This window comes from Homo sapiens, chromosome 2 (assembly GCF_000001405.40).
Source record: "Homo sapiens chromosome 2, GRCh38.p14 Primary Assembly".
Taxonomy (NCBI): Eukaryota; Metazoa; Chordata; class Mammalia; order Primates; family Hominidae; genus Homo; species Homo sapiens.
This window is the reverse complement of record NC_000002.12, coordinates 117855625-117875188: the sequence shown is the minus strand read 5'-3', so window position 1 is coordinate 117875188 and position 19564 is coordinate 117855625. Positions and strand designations below refer to the sequence as shown.

General features: G+C 42.3%; 1 pseudogene, besides 1 other annotated feature; it reads right to left on the bottom strand.

The window, feature by feature from the left end:
- The window catches only part of HTR5BP (5-hydroxytryptamine receptor 5B, pseudogene), a 44254-nt pseudogene extending 28492 nt beyond the window's left edge, over positions 1-15762 (bottom strand).
- Positions 16017-16969: an enhancer, noted in NCBI's record as "H3K4me1 hESC enhancer chr2:118615796-118616748 (GRCh37/hg19 assembly coordinates)". NCBI's record gives its function as "activates a minimal SCP1, AML or CMV promoter by ChIP-STARR-seq in primed H9 embryonic stem cells {active_cell/tissue: H9 hESC(primed)}" and the evidence as "EXISTENCE:reporter gene assay evidence [ECO:0000049][PMID:30033119]".

Here is a 19564-nt window from a genome sequence, read left to right as displayed (position 1 = left end):
GATCTACCAAAAAAATGGAAAACAAAAAAAGGCAGGGGTTGCAATCCTAGTCTCTGATAAACGAGACTTTAAACCAACAAAGATCAAAAGAGACAAAGAAGGCCATTACATAATGGTAAAGGGATCAATTCAACAAGAAGAGCTAACTATCCTAAATATATATGCACCCAATACAGGAGCACCCAGATTCATAAAGCAAGTCCTGAGTGACCTACAAAGAGACTTAGACTCCCACACAATAATAATGGGAGACTTTAACACCCCATTGTCAACATTAGACAGATCAACGAGACAGAAAGTTAACAAGGATACCCAGGAATTGAACTGAGCTCTGCACCAAGCTGACCTAATAGACATCTACAGAACTCTCTGCCCCAAATCAACAGAATATACATTTTTTTCAGCACCACACCACACCTATTCCAAAATTGACCACATAGTTGGAAGTAAAGCTCTCCTCAGCAAATGTAAAAGAACAGAAATTATAACAAACTCTCTCTCAGACCACAGTGCATTCAAACTAAAACTCAGGACTAAGAAACTCACTCAAAACCACTCAACTACATGGAAACTGAACAAACTGCTCCTGAATGACTACTGGGTACATAACGAAATGACGGCAGAAATAAAGATGTTCTTTGAAACCAACGAGAACAAAGACACAACATACCAGAATCTCTGGGACACATTCAAAGCAGTGTGTAGAGGGAAATTTATAGCACTAAATGCCCACAACAGAAAGCAGGAAAGATCCAAAATTGACAACCTAACATCACAATTAAAAGAACTAGAAAAGCAAGTGCAAACACATTCAAAAGCTAGCAGAAGGCAAGAAATAACTAAAATCAGAGCAGAACTGAAGGAAATAGAGACACAAAAAACCCTTCAAAAAATTAATGAATCCAGGAGCTGGTTTTTTGAAAAGATCAAAAAAATCGATAGACCGCTAGCAAGACTAATAAAGAAGAAAAGAGAGAAGAATCAAATAGACGCAATTAAAAATGATAAAGGGGACATCACCACTGATCCCACAGAAATAAAAACTACCATCAAACTACCATCAGAGAATACTACAAACACCTCTATGCAAATAAACTAGAAAATCTAGAAGAAATGGATAAATTCCTCGACACATACACCCTCCTAAGACTAAACCAGGAAGAAGCTGAATCTCCGAATAGACCAATAACACGCTCTGAAATTGTGGCAATAATCAATAGCTTACCAACCAAAAAAAGTCCAGGACCAGATGGATTCACAGCTGAATTCTACCAGAGGTACAAGGAGGAGCTGGTACCATTCCTTCTGAAATTATTCCAATCAATAGAAAAAGAGGGAATCCTCCCTACCTAACTCATTTTATAAGGCCAGCATCATCCTGATACCAAATCCGGGCAGAGACACAACCAAAAAAGAGAATTTTTGACCAATATCCTTGATGAACATTGATGCAAAAATCCTCAATAAAATACTGGCAAACTAAATCCAGCAGCACATCAAAAAGCTTCACCATGATCAAGTGGGCTTCATCCCTGGGATGCAAGGCTGGTTCAACATATGCAAATCAATAAATGTAATCCAGCATATAAACAGAACCAAAGACAAAAACCACATGATTTTCTCAATAGATGCAGAAAAGGCCTTTGACAAAATTCAACAACCCTTTATGCTAAAAACTCTCAATCAATTAGGTATTGATGGGATGTATCTCAAAATAATAAGAGCTATCTATGACAAACCCACAGCCAATATCATACTGAACGGGCAAAAACTGGAAGCATTCCTTTTGAAAACTGGCACAAGACAGGGATGCCCTCTCTCACCACTCCTATTCAACATAGTGTTGGAAGTTCTGGCCAGGGCAATTAGGCAGGAGAAGGAAATAAAGGGTATTCAATTAGGAAAAGAGGAAGTCAAATTGTCCCCGTTTGGAGATGACATGAATTGTATATCTAGAAAACCCCATCGTCTCAGCCCAAAATCTCCTTAAGCTGGTAAGCAACTTCAGCAAAGTCTCAGGATACAAAATCAATGTACAAAAATCACAAGCATTCCTATACACCAATAACAGACGAATAGAGAGCCAAATCATGAGTGAACTCCCATTCACAATTGCTTCAAAGAGAATAAAATACCTAGGAATCCAACTTACAAGGGACGTGAAGGACCTCTACAAGGAGAACTATAAACCACTGCTCAATGAAATAAAAGAGGATACAAACAAATGGAAGAACATTCCATGCTCATGGGTAGGAAGAATCAATATCGTGAAAATGGCCATAACTGCCCAAGGTAATTTATAGATTCAATGCCATCCCCATCAAGCTATCAATGACTTTCTTCACAGAATTGGGAAAAACTACTTTAAAGTTCATATGGAACCAAAAAAGAGCCTGCATCGCCAAGTTAATCCTAAGCCAAAAGAACAAAGCCGGAGGCATCACGCTACCTGACTTCAAACTATACTACAAGGCTACAGTAACCAATACAGCATGGTACTGGTACCAAAACAGAGATATAGATCAATGGAACAGAACGGAGCCCTCAGAAATAATGCCACATATCTACAACCATCTGATCTTTGAGAAACCTGACAAAAACAAGAAATGGGGAAAGGTTTCCCTATTTAATAAATGGTGCTGGGAAAACTGGCTAGCCATATGTAGAAAGTTGAAACTGGATCCCTTCCTTACACCTTATACAAAAATTAATTCAAGATGGATTAAAGACTTACATGTTAGACCTAAAACCATAAAAACCCTAGAAGAAAACCTAGGCAATACCATTCAGGACATAGGCATGGGCAAAGACTTCATGTCTAAAACACCAAAAGCAATGGCAACAAAAGCCAAAATTGACAAATGGGATCTCATTAAACTAAAGAGCTTCTGCACAGCAAAAGAAACTACCATCAGAGTGAACAGGCAACCTACAAAATGGGAGAAAATTTTCGCAACCTACTCATCTGACAAAGGGCTAATATCCAGAATCTACAATGAACTCAAACAAATTTACAAGAAAAAAACAAACAACCCCACCAAAAAGTGGGCAAAGGATATGGACAGACACTTCTCAAAAGAATACATTTATGCAGCCAAAAAACACATGAAAAAATGCTCATCATCACTGGCCATCAGAGAAATGCAAATCAAAACCACAATGAGATACCATCTCACACCAGTTAGAATGGTGATCATTAAAATGTCAGGAAACGACAGGTGCTGGAGAGGATGTGGAGAAATAAGAACACTTTTACACTGTTGGTGGGACTGTAAACTAGTTCAACCATTGTGGAAGTCAGTGTGGCGATTCCTCCGGGATCTAGAACTAGAAATACCATTTGACCCAGCCATCCCTTTACTGGGTATATACCCAAAGGATTATAAATCATGCTGCTATAAAGACACATGCACATGTATGTTTATTGCAGCACTATTCACAATAGCAAAGACTTGGAACCAAGCCAAATGTCCAACAACGATAGACTGGATTAAGAAAATGTGGCACAGATACACCATGGAATACTATGCAGCCATAAAAAATGATGACTTCATGTCCTTTGTAGGGACATGGATGAAGCTGGAAACCATCATTCTCAGGAAACTATCCCAAGGACAAAAAACCAAACACCACATGTTCTTACTCATAGGTGGGAACTGAACAATGAGAACACATGGACACAGGAAGGGGAACATCACACTCCGGGGACTGTTGTGGGTGGGGGAAGGGGGGAGGGATAGCCTTAGGAGATATACCTAATGCTAAATGACGAGTTAATGGGTGCAGCACACCAACATGGCACACATATACATATGTAACAAACCTGCACATTGTGCACATGTACCCTAAAACTTAAAGTATAATAATAATAAAATAAGAAAAATAAACAAATAAATAAATATAAAAGAAAAAAAAAGCCACAAGACCCAACAATCTATTTCCCACAAAAAATACACTTCATCTATAAAGATGCATGTAAACATAAAGAGATGGAAAAAGATATTCCATGCAAATGGAAACCAGGAGGAGGTGGAGGAGGAGGCGGTGGAGGAGGAGGAGGAGGAGGAGGAGGAGGAGGAGGAGGAGGAGGAGGAGGAGGCGGCGGCGGCGGCGGCGGCGGGGAGAGGGAGGGGGAGGAGGGGGAGGAGGAGAGGGGGAGGAGGAGGAGGCGGTGGCAGCGGAGGAGGCAGCGGCGGCAGTGGAGGAGGAAGCCGCGCACAGTGGCTCATACCTGTAATCCCAGCACTTTGGGAAACCGAGGTGGGAGGATCAGGAGGTCAGGAGTTTGAGACCAGCCTGGCCAATATGGTGAAACCACGTCTCTACTAAAGATACAGAAAATTAGCCGGGTGAGGTGCACATGCCAAATCCCAGCTACTCAGGAGGCTGAGGCAGGAGAATCGATTGAATCCAGGAGGTGGAAGTTGCAGTGAGCTGAGATCGCACCATTGCACTCCAGCCTGGGTGATAGGGTGAGACTCAATCTCAAAAAAAAAAAAAAAAAAAAAAAAAGGAAAAAAGTAAAAAGGAGAGCTATACTTATATGTAACTAAATAGATTTCAAGACAAAAACTATAAAAGAGACAAAAAAGGTTATTATATAAATAAAGGGGTCAATTCAGCAAGAAGATATAACAATTATAAATATATATGCTCCCAACATTGGACCACTCAGATATATAAAGCAGATACTTTTAGCGCTAAAAAGATAGACCACAATACAGTATTAGCTGAAGATTTCAACATTCTACTTTCATTATTGGACAAATTATCCAGACAGAAAATCAACAAACCAACTTTGGACTTAACCTGTGCTATAGACCTAATGGACCTAATAGATATTTACAGAACATTTCACCTAACGGTTGCAGAATATACATTTTTCTCCTCAGTACATGGATCATTATCATGGATAAACAATATGTTAGGCCACAAAACAAGTGTTAATTAATTTTTAAAAAATGAAATTATGTTACGTATCTTCTCTGACCATAATGGAAGAAAACTAGGAATCAATAACGAGAGGAATTTTGGAAACTATGCAAACACATGGAAATTAAACAATATGCTCCCGAATGACCAGTGGGTCAATGAAGAAATTAGGAAGGAATTCAAAAATGTATAGGCTGGACGTGGTGGCTAACGCCTGTAATCCCAGCATGTTGGGAGGCTGAGGCAGGCAGATTACGAGGTCAAGAGATCGAGACCATTCAGGCCAACATGGTGAAACCCCGTCTCTACTAAAAGTACAAAAATTAGCTGGGCATGGTGGCATGTGCCTGTAATCCCAGCTACTCGGAAGGCTGAAGCGGGGGAATTGCTTGAACCCGGGAGGTGGAGGTTGCAGTGAGCCAAGATCTTGCCACTGTGCTCCAGCCTAGCGAAAGAGTGAGACTCTGTCTGGAAAAAAAAAATTATTTAACAAATGATAATGGAAACACAACATACCAAAACCTATGGAACACAGTGAAAGCAGTATTAAGAGGAAAAATTTATAGCTATAATTGCCTACATCAAAAAAAAAAAACTCACAAAAAGCCCTAATGATGCATTTTAAAGAACCAGAAAAGTGCAAACCCAACTCAAAATTAGAAGATAATAAACAATAAAGATCTAACCAGAAATAAATGAAATTGAAATGAAGAAAACAATAAAAACATCAAGAAAATTAAGAGTTAATCTTTTGAAAATATAAACAAAGCCAGCAAACCTTTACCAGATTAAGGAAAAAAGAGAGGAGACCCAAATAAATAAGATCAGAGATGAAAAAGGAGGCATTACAACCGAGAGCACAGAAATTCAAAGGATTATTAGAGGCTACTATGAGCAACTACATGCGAATAAATTGGAAAGCCTAGAAGAAATGGATAGCCTTCTACCATGGTTGAACCATGAAGAATCCAAAACTTGAACAGATCAATAACAAGTAACAAGACCAAAGCCATAATAAAAAGTCTCCCAGCAAAGAAAAGCCCAGGACCCAATGGTTTCTTTGCTGGATTTTACCGAGCATTAAAAGAAGAACTAATACCAAACCTACTTTAACTATTCTGAAAAATAGAGGAGGAAGGAATATTTCCAAACTCATTATATGGTGGGCAGTATTATCTTGATACCAAAACCAGACAAACACACATTAAAACAAACAAACAAAAAACTATAGGCCAATATCCCTGATAAATGTTGATGCAAAAATCCTCAACAAAATACTAGCAAATCAAATTCAATAACACATTAAAGATATCATTCATCATGACCAAGCGCGATTTATCCCAGGATGCGAGAATGGCTCAACATGTGCAAATCAGTCAATGTGACACATCGTATCAACAGAATGAAGGACAAAAACCATATCATCTTTTCAATTGATATTGAAAAAGCATTTGATAAAATTCAACATGTCTTCATGATAAAAACCCTTTAAAAATTAGGTATAGAAAAAACATATCTCGACACAATAAAAGCCATAAAAGACAGAAACATTGCCGCTATCATATTGAATGGGAAAAAACTGAAACTCTTTCCTCTAGGATCTGGAACATGACAAGGACATTGTCCATGACAAGGACACTGGATCATGACATGGACATTGTCCATGACAAAGACACTGTCACCGCTGTTATTCAACATAGTATGGGAAGTCCTAGCTAGAGCAATCAGACAAGAGAAAGAAATAAAGAGCATACAAATTGGAAAGGAAGAAGTCCAATTACATTGTCATTACTTGCAGATTTGGAAAAAATTGAAGATTCCACTGAAAAACCATTGGAACTAAAAAACAAATTCAGTAAAGTTGCAAGATACAAAATCAGCATACAAAAATCAGTAGCATTTCTATATTTCAATGGCAAATAATCTGAAAAAACAAATTTAAAAAGTAATTCCACTTACAATAGTTACATATAAATTAAATACCTAGGAATTAAAGAAGTAAAAGATCTCTAGAATAAAAACTATAAAAGGCTGATGAAAGAAATTGAAGATAACAAGTAATCCCAGCTACCTGAGAGGCTGAGGCAGGAGAATCACCTGAACCCAGGAGGCAGAGGTTGCAGTGAGCCGAGATCACGCCACTGCACTCCAGCCTGGGCAACAGGGTGAGACTCTGTCTCAAAAAAAAAAAAAAAAGAAATTGAAGATGATACAATATAGTGGAAAGGTATTCCATGTTCATTGATTGGAAGAATAAATCTTATTAAAATGTTCACACTACCTAAAGCAATCTACAGATTCAATGCAAGCCCTATGAAAATACCAATAACATTCTTCACAGAAATAGAAAAAACAATCCTAAAATTTATATAAAAACACAAAAGACCCAGAGTAGCCTAAGCTGTCCTAAGCAAAAACAACAAAACTGGAGGAATTATATTACCGGACTTCAAACTGTGCTACAAAGCTATAGTAACCCAAACAGCATGGAACTGTCATAAAACAGACACAAAGACCAATAGAACAAAATAGAGAACCCAGAAAAAAATCCATACATCTACAGCAAACTCATTTTTGACAAAGGTTCAAAGAACATACACTGGGGAAAGGACAGTCTCTTCAATAAATGGTGCTAGGAAAACTGAATATCTGTATGCAGAAGAATGAAACTAGACACCTGCTTCTTGTCACATGTAAAAATCAATTAAACATGGATTAAAGACTTAAATCTAAGACCTCAAACTATGAAACTCCTACAAGAAAATATTGGGGAAGCTCTTTAGAACACTGGATTTGGCAAAGGTTTCTTAAGTAATACCCCACAAGTACAGGCAACCAAAGCAAAAATGGACAAGTAGGATCACATCAAGTTAAAAAGATTCTGCACAGCAAAGGAAACAATCAACAAAGAGACAACCCATAGAATGGAAGAAAATATTTGTGAACCATCCATCTGTCAAGGGATTAATAACCAGAATATATAAGGGATTCAATAACCAGAATATATAAGGGATTCAAATAATTCTATATGAAAAAATCAAATAATTTGATTAAAAAGTGAGTAAAAGATTTGAATAGACACTTCTCAAAAAAAGACAAATAGCAAACAGGTGTACTAAAATGTGCTCAACATCACTGCTCATCAGAGAAATGCAAATCAAAACTACAATAAGATATCATTTCACCCTAGTTAAGATGGCTTGTATCCAAAAGATAGGTAATTACAAGTGCTGGTGACGAAGTGGAGAAAAGGGCACCCTTGTACACTGTTGGTGAGAATGTAACTTAGTACAGACACCATGGAGAACTGTTTGAAGGGTCTTCAAAACACTAAAAATAGAGCTGCCATATCACTCAGCAATCTCACTGCCAGCTGTGTATCTAAAAGAGAGGAAATCAGTATATAGAAGAGATATCTGCACTCCCATGTTTACTGCAGTGCTAGTCACAATAGCCAAGATTTGGAAACAACCTAAGTGGCCATTCATAGATGAAGGATAAAGAAAATGTGGTACATACATATAAACAATGATATCCCATCATAACAGCATGGATGGGACAGGAAGTCATTATGTTAAGTGAAATAAACCAGGCACAGAAAGACACACTTCACATGTTCTCACTTATTTGTGGGAGCTAAAAATTTAAACAGTTGAACTCATGGAGATAGAGAGTTGAATGATAGTTACCAGAAGCTAGGAAGGGTAGTGGGAGGGGGTAAGAGGGAAGGGTTCATGGGTACAAAAATACAGTTAGATAGAATGAATATGATCTAGTATTTGATAGTACAATAGGGTGAATATAGTCAAACATAATTTATTGTACATTTAAAAATAACTAAAATAGTATAATTGTATTTTTTTTTTTGAGACAGAGTCTCACTCTGTTGCCAGGCTGGAGTGCAGTGGCACAATCTCAGCTCACTGCAACCTCTGCCTTCCCAGGTTCAAGCAATTATCCTGCCTCAGCCTCCCAAGTAGCTGGAACTATAGGCGCCCATCACCACACCCAGCTAATTTTTGTATTTTTAGTAGAGATGGGGTTTTACCATGTTGACCAGGATGGTCTCAATCTCTTGACCTCGTGATCCGGCCACCTCGGCCTCCCAAAGTGCTGGGATTACAGGCGTGAGCCACCACACCTGGCCTGGATTGTTTGTAACATAAAAAAGGATAAATGTTTGAAGTGATGGATAGCCCATTTACCTTGATGTGATTATTATACATTGCATGCCTGTATCAAAATATCTCATGTGCCCTATAAAAATATAAATCTACTGTATACCCACAAAAATTAAAAATACAAAATTTTTAAAAATTAGATTGTATCCCATAAGTATATACAATTATTATTTGTCAATTTAAAATAAATATATAAACATAAATGGCTCTGTACAGATTTTGGGTCACTTGGGGCCTACTGCACATAACCTTTATGGCAGTGTGTCATTGTTCAAACAAAACGTCAACAAAGAGGACTGGCTTAGAAAGTCAAATTTTTGTAATACAGCATAATCTAAAATCTATGTTCCAAGTTGCCATAAACCCTAAAGCTCAATACCTCACATTTACTTTGCCCTTCACAGTTTACATAGTGCTTTCCCATACACTATTAAATCTTTCAGATACCATTGTACTTTGGACAGATTTCTAGCAGAGCACTTATAAGACTTTATTGCATTTATAATTCTATAATTATAATCTACTAAAAATCCACTGGGAGCAGGAAAGTGCTTATTCATTCTTTGAAACCTCAGAGGACATTGCCTGGTACATAAGATCAGTAAGTCAATCGAGTAATTTTGAACACTACATTCAATATGTTTTGGGAAATACTTCTCCCGAAGATGAAGCCTAATTCCTCTTTTCTTGAGTGTGAGCTGGACTTAGTGACTCACTGCTAATGAATAGAAAATAATCATATGTGACTTCTGAGACTAAGTCATAAAAGGCACTGCAATTTCCTCCTTGCTTCACTCTCTTGGACGGCTTGCTCTGGGGAAAGTCAGCTATCATGTGGTACCACCCAAGCAGCCCTTTGGAGATGTCCTTTTCTCAAGGATCTGAAGCCTCTTGTCAACAGGCATGTGAGTGCTCCATCTTGGAAGCAAAGTTTCCAGCCTCAGTCAAGCTTTTGAATGACTGCAGCCCCATGCAACATCTTGCCTACAGCCAAAAGAGATGTCAAGTCAGAACCACCCAGCTAAGCCATTCTGAATGCCCAACCCACAGAAACTGTGAATTAATACATGTTTGTTCTTTTAAGCCACTAAACTGTGGGATAATTTTCTACACAAGCAATAAATAATCTACCTATGATTATGAGGAATAGCAATAAGAGAAATAAAATAATACTTTTCTTATTAAAGAGAAATAGAAAAATAACAAAAGTAATGCGGTAGCTATTATTTATGGTTTACTACTTAAGGGACTCCACATATGATAGAATTTCATTTGCTCTTCACAAGAATATTAAAAGACACGTGGTAATATTTCCATTTTACATATGCAGAATTGCAGATGTAGATTAAGTCACTTGGCTGAAGTGCTAATAAGTGGCAGTCAAAAAAATTGAAACCCACGTTTCTTTGTTTCCAAGTCCCATGTTCTTAACCACTGTGTACATTATCTCCCAATATATATTTATTAAGAATGAGTGCAAGAACCCAATTCACAATTGCCAAGATTTGGAACCAACCTAAGTGCCCATTGACGAATGAGTAGATAAAGAAAATGTGGTATATATACATAATGGAATACTACTTGGCCATAAGAAGGAATAAAATAATGTCTTTGGCAGCAACTTGGATGAAGCTAGAGGCCATTATTCTGAGAGAAGTAACTCAGGAATGGAAAACCAAATACCATGTGTTCTCACTTATAAGTGGGAGCTAAGCTATGAATATATGGGAAGGCACACAGAGTGATATAATGGACTTTGGAGACTTAGAAGGGGACACTAGTCTGGTGACAATTGCACTAAAGTCTCAGAATTAACCACTATATAATTCATCCATGTAAACAAAAACCACTTGTAGCCCCAAAGCTATTAAAAAATATATTTAAAAATTTTAAAAAGAAAGCAATAGTACGATTAAAAAAAAGAATGAGGGCAAGATATTAACCAAGGCTTCATTATAATTTGTGTGGTCCCTAGACATCTTTGCCTTAATGTATCCCTTCCTTCATTAAGAAATACTGAAAATTATGTTAAACATTAGTATAAGCAAGTATAAGCAAGACTGGATTCATTATAATATATTCATTAGTGTTATATTCATTTTTCCTCTAATTTTAAAAGAAATTAAAATTAAAATATTTCTATGGGTCCCTAAAAGAATTCTGGTTCTAAGTAGTATGACTACTACGCCTGATGGATAACTAGGTCCCAGCATCAAATTGCACACAGAAATCAAACAAGCAATAGCAAAGAAAAGAGAGAGAGATAGGAAAAAAAAAAAAAACCCTTTTAATGTCACATTTTAAAAGCCAAAGAAATAATGTTTCTTCTTTTCTAAACAGTGAAGGGCACAGGGCAGTAGGAAGTAATCGTAACCCATGGGGCTTGCTTTGGGGTGGGGAGCAGATTATAGTGTACATGGGATGCTCAGAGTCTCAGTTTAAGATGTTGAAAGAAAAGACACCAGGGCAGGAATTAAACCTGTCCCCTGAGGGAAGCAGGCAAGGCTTTTGTGCTCAATTGTGTTCAGCTCTCCTGAAAAGGAGAGTTCACCTGAGTAGTTTTGAGATCCTGCTTCGTGGGACCCACCTTGACTGGGCTGTGACTGCCTCATTCCTCTCAAGCAGAGACACCCATGAGCAGAGGGGCAGGCCTCAGAAGTCAAGTCCCTGGAGATGGCATGGAGTAATGAAAACAGTGATTTCTTTTTTCTTTTTTGAGTCGGAGTCTCGCTCTGTCATCAGGCTGGAATGCAGTGGCACGATCTCGCATCACCGTAACCTCCACCTCCTGGGTTCAAGCAATTCTCCTGCCTCAGCCTCCAGAGTAGCTGGGACTACAGGCATGTGCCACCACACCCAGCTAATTTTTGTATTTTTAGTAGAGATGGGGTTTCACCATGTTGGCCAGGATGGTCTCGATTTCTTGACCTCGTGATCCGCCTGCCTCCGCCTCTCAAAGTGCTGGGATTACAGGCATGAGCCACCGCACCTGGCCAAAAATAGTGATTCTTAGATCTGGTACAACCTTCAGACTCTCTACCCAGGAACTGCGTGGTTTTGGATGAACTAGGTTTGTGGTGCCTTACCATAGTTTTCTCTTGCAGTTTTCTCATCTGTAAAATGAGGGCCTTATGGCAAAGACAGTGCTCACCAGATAGCTACATGCTCCCTTCCAATTCACTGCCAATGGCTGGCCAATGGGCTGCAAATAGTGATGACATGCTTCCAGTTCAGGGTAAGGCAGTAAAAAGCTGGCATATCTCCATACATAGCTCTTCTCCCACAATAAATCTGGAAGGCACATGTGCAAGGCAGCATAGCTAAAAATGATAAATGGCCCAAAATCATGAGAGACTGCCTGGAAGAGAGCTGTGCAGGTATGCAGACCCACATTGAACTTTAAGTCAGAGTGAAATAAACTTCTGGTTTGGGGTTACATGTTACCACAGCATGCCTTAGCTTATCCTGACTAATAGAGACTTAATGCCAACTTTACTGAATTGTGAGAATGAAATGAAAGGGTGAATGTAAAGCATCAGAAATGTGTCTGGAAGAGACAATTCACTCAATAAACATTTTTTTCCCTTCTCAACTTTGAAAAACTGCATTTTGCCCCAAAGGATTAATCATTGCCCAAAAACTACATTCTGATAAGACCCCTGTCTTATAATATGTTAGTGTTGGGACCTAGACACGGAATTCTGAAAAAGATGAAGGTCTTACACAGCCTCATCAACAGAGGCCTTCAGGCTTCACATAGGCTCCTGTTCCCTGCAGAAAACAGTACAGACACTTTGCAGAGCCTAAACACAATACAACTCATTTCGCCTGGAGAGTAGAATGATGCAGGTGGGGGAAAGTAGAGAGGAAGTATTCCTGGCGCGGTGTTTTACACTTTTGTTTAGATGTCTTGTTTCCAGAAGGCTTGCAAACGTGGACTCAGGAACATTACCCAGAAGTTTGAGTGAGGGCTTGCTGTGACCCATAGAAGCAGCATGCTCCTGAACACTACCCCATCTACAATCTCAGCATCCTGTGATTCAAGGCCCTTAGACATGACTTAGAAGAATACTGTATGTTAGAGAAGTTGAGGCCCAAAGTGGGGAAGGGCTTGCCCCAGGTCCTCCTGCCGGGAGTGGCTAAATTTTTAACAGTTCCTCTTCCTCTCAGAGCTCTCTCTATCCACCAATGGACACTCCAGATTGGCCAGCCTCTCATCCAGGCACCTCTTCCCTGTGTCACCTGCCTGAATGGGAACTGTCAAAAATGAACACTAAAATCAGGCTTGGCAAGGTTTTCCGGCATCCATTTCACCGTGATTTCTCTAAGTGCGCATTGGATTGACGTAGCTATTAAAAGTCAGCCCTAGCTCGGCAATCAGACAGAAAAGCTATAATCACCCCAGGCATTTCCAAGGGACCTTTCAAAGAACATCATTAATTCTGAATAAAACTCTCCCTCACCAACACTTCCAGTTATAGTCTTGACATTCCTATTTTATGCTGCAAAATTCCTCTGCCATTTAATGTAGAAGAAAAAAGGCCTACTTTAAAAATCACATGTATTTGTCCTGTATTCTAAGTATCTGAGTTAATTTTCCAAAATTAAAACAAAACTAGCAACAAAAAACTTTCCTTGTCTCTTTTTGCTCTCATATGCACCTCTTCCCTCACCCATGTATTGTATTTGCAAAGGGCAATAAATCCTGTTAATCTATAGGACCGGGAGCATGTTACTTGAAACACCTGATACCCTCAAAAGAGAAAGTTGAGGCTTCCAGAGTGAGAAGGATGCTGAGCACCTATTAGATCCTGGCCAAAAGGCAGAAAGCTTCAGACAGAATAATAAATACGGTGAGAGAAGATCTGCCGACTGCAATTTTGCTCATCTCATTACATTTCCAGCATTATCTTCCTCCTCCTTATGGACTGCCAGGCAATATCCTGTTGAACCCCTTCTTTCTCCAGCCAGTCTGCCACCCAGTGTGTGCCAGCCACTATGCCAGGTGCTTTACATTCTTCATCTCACGTAATCCTCACCAAGAGCCCTATCAATTACGAATGAACATGTTTAAAGATGAAGAAATGAGACCCACAGATATTAAGCAACTGTCCTAATGTCCCAAGCTGGGATTTGAATCCATGGTTCTCTTTCCTAAATCACTAGAGGATAGCTCCGGGGTTGAGATAAGGAAAGCAAAGTGACACCAATTATTATATTTTAAAATCCTCACTATTCCCCTTGGCAGGGTGCTGGCTAATGGAGTTGGGGAATAGTCTCTGAACTGCAGAGGATAGACTGGGGTACGGTGGAGACAGAAAATAAGGCGTGATTGGTCACAGGAATTTCTGAAAGACGAATTCCCAGTCCACTGCATCCCCTCTAGGTCTAGTTGGGACAAGGAAGCCGGCGGCTCCAGGACTCACATGGACAGGGGCCCTTGAGGGGGAAAACAACAGATAGTGCAGGTAACAAGATGTGCCCTCATCGCTACTGAGACGGGCTGAACCTACAAGCCCCTCCGGCCATATCGTGCGTCGTGGGTCGGTGTCAGATCTGCCTCCCTAACGTGCAGATTGTGAAACCCTTTCCTCTGCGCGCACCAAGTACGCAGCTGGCGAACCCCTCACTTGCGTGCCAGGTGAGCCGGTGACAAGCCCCTCGGTGCCCGCTTCAGAAGAACTGATGGCAAACTTGTCCTCGTGCGCCCCAGGTGATCTCTGGGCGCGCGCTCCATTAGTACAAGCTTCCGCCCACTCTCCCATTCGCGAAGCTGCCTCCTTCTCTAGCAACCGCTTCCCCATAGCAACGTTCCTCAGCCCACCCCTCACCTGCATGGTGGCCGGCAACGGCAGCACAGCTCTCCGGCGGCGGCCGAAACGAAACTTGGCCGCCTCGTAGATCTTCCGGTAGACAAACGGCACCACGCCAAGCGGCAGGTGGAAGGCGCCGCGGGTGGAGAAGGCGGCATAGGAGGGTTCCCGGCTCACCTGGCAGCGCTGGAGCCGAGCGTCGCACACCTCGCCCCGGCCAAAGAGCAGCGGCGCGAGGGCGATGAGCGCCGACGGCACCCGGGCGAGCGCGATCATGAGCAACGAGGCGCGGCTGCGGGTGCGCAGCGTGTGCTGCAGGTGCCGTGTGATGGCCCCGTCGCGGCCCAGGGCGATGGCCGCCACGTTCCCGAGGCCGGCGGGGCAGCACAGCCGTGGAAGGAGATCCACACGTGGCACAGGCTCCGGCGTCGAAGGAGATCCACACGTGGCACAGGCTCCGGCCCAGCAGCCGACGTCGCCCGGTCGACAGCTCACTCGCCAGGCTCGGTGGCATCGCCAGCGCTGCCACTAGTTCGTCCGAGACGGCCGTCGAGGCCACCAAGTTATGCGGCACGCGGTGGAAGGCACGGACCCGCGGGATGGTGACCGGAACCAGCAGGTTCCACAGGAAAGTGGCAGCGATCAGCAGCACTAGCAGCGTCACCACCAGGACCGTGAAGACAGAGAAGGGCGGCCCTCGGCCCGGCAGGACGGCGCCGCTCGGGGTCGAACCGAGTATCCCTCTCGGGCTTGGGGTCCCGGGTCCTGCTGCTGGTCTCGGGTCCCAGGGCAAGGGCAACGCCGGCGGTGGCCACTGAAAGGCTAGCGGCCTCCATGGCGCTTGGGATCGCAGCTCCAGGGCAGGGGGCACACGAGTCCTCAGTGAGTTCGGCGTGGACCGGGCAGGTGCGGGCGTGGAGGGGGTACTGCCTGCCGGGGGAGGCTGGAAGAGGGGTCCAGGTCGTCCTATCCTGATCCCTCCTGCGGGCAGCAGCCCACCTTTGGCACGTATGCCTGCAGCCCCCGTAGATCCTCTTTTCCAGGAGAATGAGTAAGAGAGAGCAGGACCCCTCAGTCTAGCTCCGCTCGGCTCGCCAGTCCCTCCTACCACCTCTCTTAGCGGTCCCGGGTGCCACCGGCCGCCAGGGGGTTGGGAATCAGCGCGGCCGAGGGACAGAGCGCGGGTTGTGCTTGGAGAGTTGCCCCTCCCCCACCCAGCGGCGTCGGGAGACGAGCTGCACCTGCAGTGGGCGGGGGTGGGCGGGAGCAAGGGGCAGCTGGAGAGCCCACCAACAGGAGCCAGGCCTTCAACACTGTCCCCGCTGGTCTCCCTGACTGTGCCAAGCAGAGACAACCCGGGGTAGCTGGAGAGCCCACCAACAGGAGCCAGGCCTTCAACACTGTCCCCGCTGGTCTCCCTGACTGTGCCAAGCAGAGACAACCCTAACTGAGGTGGTCTCCGGGAAAGGTTTACAATGGGGAGAAAGTCCCTTGCCACCACCTCTGCGGACCCCTCGGACCTGCTGGTGGCACGGTTTGACACTGGGAAACAAGGGTCCCGCTCTGCCCCGGCCAGGGGGCTTCGGGTTTCCTGTAATCTCGATTCTACCTATACCCGAAATGGGAAACCCAGGTATTGGGGTATATAAAACAGAAAGCTCCTAAGCCCAGCCCCATCCTGCCGCCGCTTTGCTTCCAGCACGGCTGCCCGGCGAGGGCTTGGTGACGCCTTGAGAAATTCACTCCCTGGCTCTATGAGGAAAGAACGCGGCTTCTGAGCAATCTGGCAGAGATCTGGAAGAGGAACCCTTTATACCATCATCTTCGCCAGCTCTAACCTCCCCTATCATGTCCTCACCCCCCACATACGCGCACTCTCCACCCAGCCCTGTCCTTTCAGTTTCCAACATGGAGAAAGCTGGAATTGAGAAGATTTTGAGAAAATTGACCTGATGAAGAGAATTTGTTAGAAGAAAAGGAAGACTAGCCTTTGAAATATTTTTACAATATCTCTCCATTTTATTGAAAACATTATAAGAGCAAAGAATATTAGAAATGTTAAAACATTCATATTGCACTAGCCAGATGCATCACATGCTTTTACTCTCATCTTTTGTCCCTATCCACATACATTTTTTTTTTTTTTGAGATGGAGTCTCGCTCTGTCACCCAGGCTGGAGTGCAGTGGCGCGATCTCAGCTCACTGCAAGCTCCACCTGCCGGGGTCACGCCATTCTCCTGCCTCAGCCTCCTGATTAGCTGGGACTACAGGCACCTGCCACCACGCCCGGCTGATTTTTTGTATTTTTAGTAGAGACGGGGTTTCACAGTGTTCGCCAGGATGGTCTCGATCTCCTGACCTCGTGATCTGCCTGCCTCGGCCTCCCAAAGAGTTGGAATTACAGGCGTGAGCCACCGCACCCACCTCCACGTACATTTTCTATAGGTAAAATCAATTTTTTATTTACAGATTTCTGTTAGCACTTTTCATGTTATTATATATTGTCTTCATAGTTCCACTTGTTATAGGGTACCATTTATCAGCTGGGAGACTCTGAGCAACTTAGGCTTTCTGAGACACATTTTCCTTATCTTAAAAGTGGGGATAATTATACTTGTCATGAGATCATTATAAAACTAGAGTTAGAGCCAGTAGCACAGGAGTAAGTGTTCAATAAATAATGACTGTTCCTGCTCTTTCTAACTTCTAGTCTAAACCTTAGATTCAGTTATCTTCTGATCTTTGAGGTAGATTATGTTTTTAGATAGGTATATTCTCTAAAATATTTGTAACAACAAAACACTTTCACCACTTTATTTCAGTTGATCTTACCCACAGTCATTTTAGGCATCATTCTCATTTGCAGAAGAAGAAATGAAGAGAGATTTGTTGACTTTCTGCTATGGACATAATTGTGTTGCCCCAAATTCATATATTTAAGCCCTAACTCTCAGTGTGCCTGTATGGGGAGAGAGGGCCTACAAAGAGGTAATACCCTGGTTTGATAGAATTAGTGTCCTTATAAGAGGCACCAGAGACCTCACTCTGTCTCTCCTTAACATATGAAGACACAGTGAAAAGGATTCTGCCCACAAGCCAGGAAGAGGGTACCCACTAGGAAATGAATCTGCTGGTAACTTGATCTTGGACTTCCCAGCCCCTTAAACTGTAAGAAATAAATTTCTGTTGTCTAAGGCAGCCAGTCTAAGGTGTTTGTTATAGCAGTCTGAGCAGACCAAGACACTTGCTTTGAGACTGATAGCTGGGACTCCACTATCTGACCCCCATTTCCCACCCCTCTATCCTACCACTCTCTTTTCATAGCTCTTCACAGAAGTGACATCATATTATTATTTAATTCCCTTTCCATTATCTAAATGCCTTCCCCCACTAAAATATAAGCTCTTCTTGGGCAGGGAATTTGTTCACTGCAATATCCTTAGCATCTTATTCTGTGCCGGGCACATAGTAGTTGACTCAATACATTGGAATGAGTTAAATAAATAAATGAGGCATTGTTGGGAGACGTGGTTCATAGGCCCTGAGCATCCCCTGAACCTTCTCCTCGTGTGTGCCAAGAATGCAAGGCCCTGACTGCTCATTTCCTAGGCCATTCCTGAGTGTTGTGTTTGTAGCAAGCAACCTTAAAAGATGAAGTAACCTCTCCTCTGGGCAAGGGGCATGCTTGCTTCCACTTAATGTCAAAGTGGTGAATTCCAAGCTCAGCATTTCTCTCTGTGACTCTGCTCACTACTGGGCAGGAATTCAGCATGAGCCCTTTCTATCACCCGCATGAGAACTGGGAAACATGGAGAGCTATCACAAGCAAAGGTGAAGCTCTGGCTATGGCTTTTGCCTAGTGTATTAAAGTTTGTTTTCTCTGACTCAGGAGTCTAATGTCTTCTGCCAGCATCTATGAAATTGTAACAGGGTGGCTTGTGAGCTTGCAAGTAGGGTAAAATCTCAACCCTGCACAGTACATGACAGGCATTCAGTTTACTGATTTTTAAAAATTACAATTAGCACTTTTTTTCTCTTTTGGGTTTCTTTTCTCTTTTCTTTCTTTCTTTTTTTTTTTTCTGAGATGGAGTCTCCCTCTGTCACCCAGGCTGGAGTGCAGTGGCGTCTTCTTGGCTCACTGCAACCTCCACTTCCTGGGTTCAAGTGATTCTCCTGCCTGAATCACCCAAATAGCTGGGATTACAGCCATGCACCACCACGTTGGGCTAATATTTGTATTTTTAGTGGAGATGGGGTTTTACCATGTTGTCCAGGCTGCTCTCAAACTCCTGACCTCAAGTGATCCGCCTACCTAGTCCTCCCAAAGTGCTGGGATTACAGGTGCTCTGCCTGGGTTTATTTTCTTGATACATTTTCTCCCAAATTTAATTATGGAGTTAAAATATAGGAATGGTGTAACCGTTCTTTTTATGCATTTTCAAATTGTACCTCAGAAAAATTTAATGGTGTCAGTTTTCTTAGCCCTGGCTTTGGAGAAACAAGAAAGAAACGAACAGCCTTGCTAAAGCAAATTTTTTATCATTAAAAACAATGTTCAATTGGTGTATAATGATGTATTTTAATTGTTTTGATTTGCTTTTTGCTTTTTTTTTTTTTTTTGAGACAGAGTTTCACTC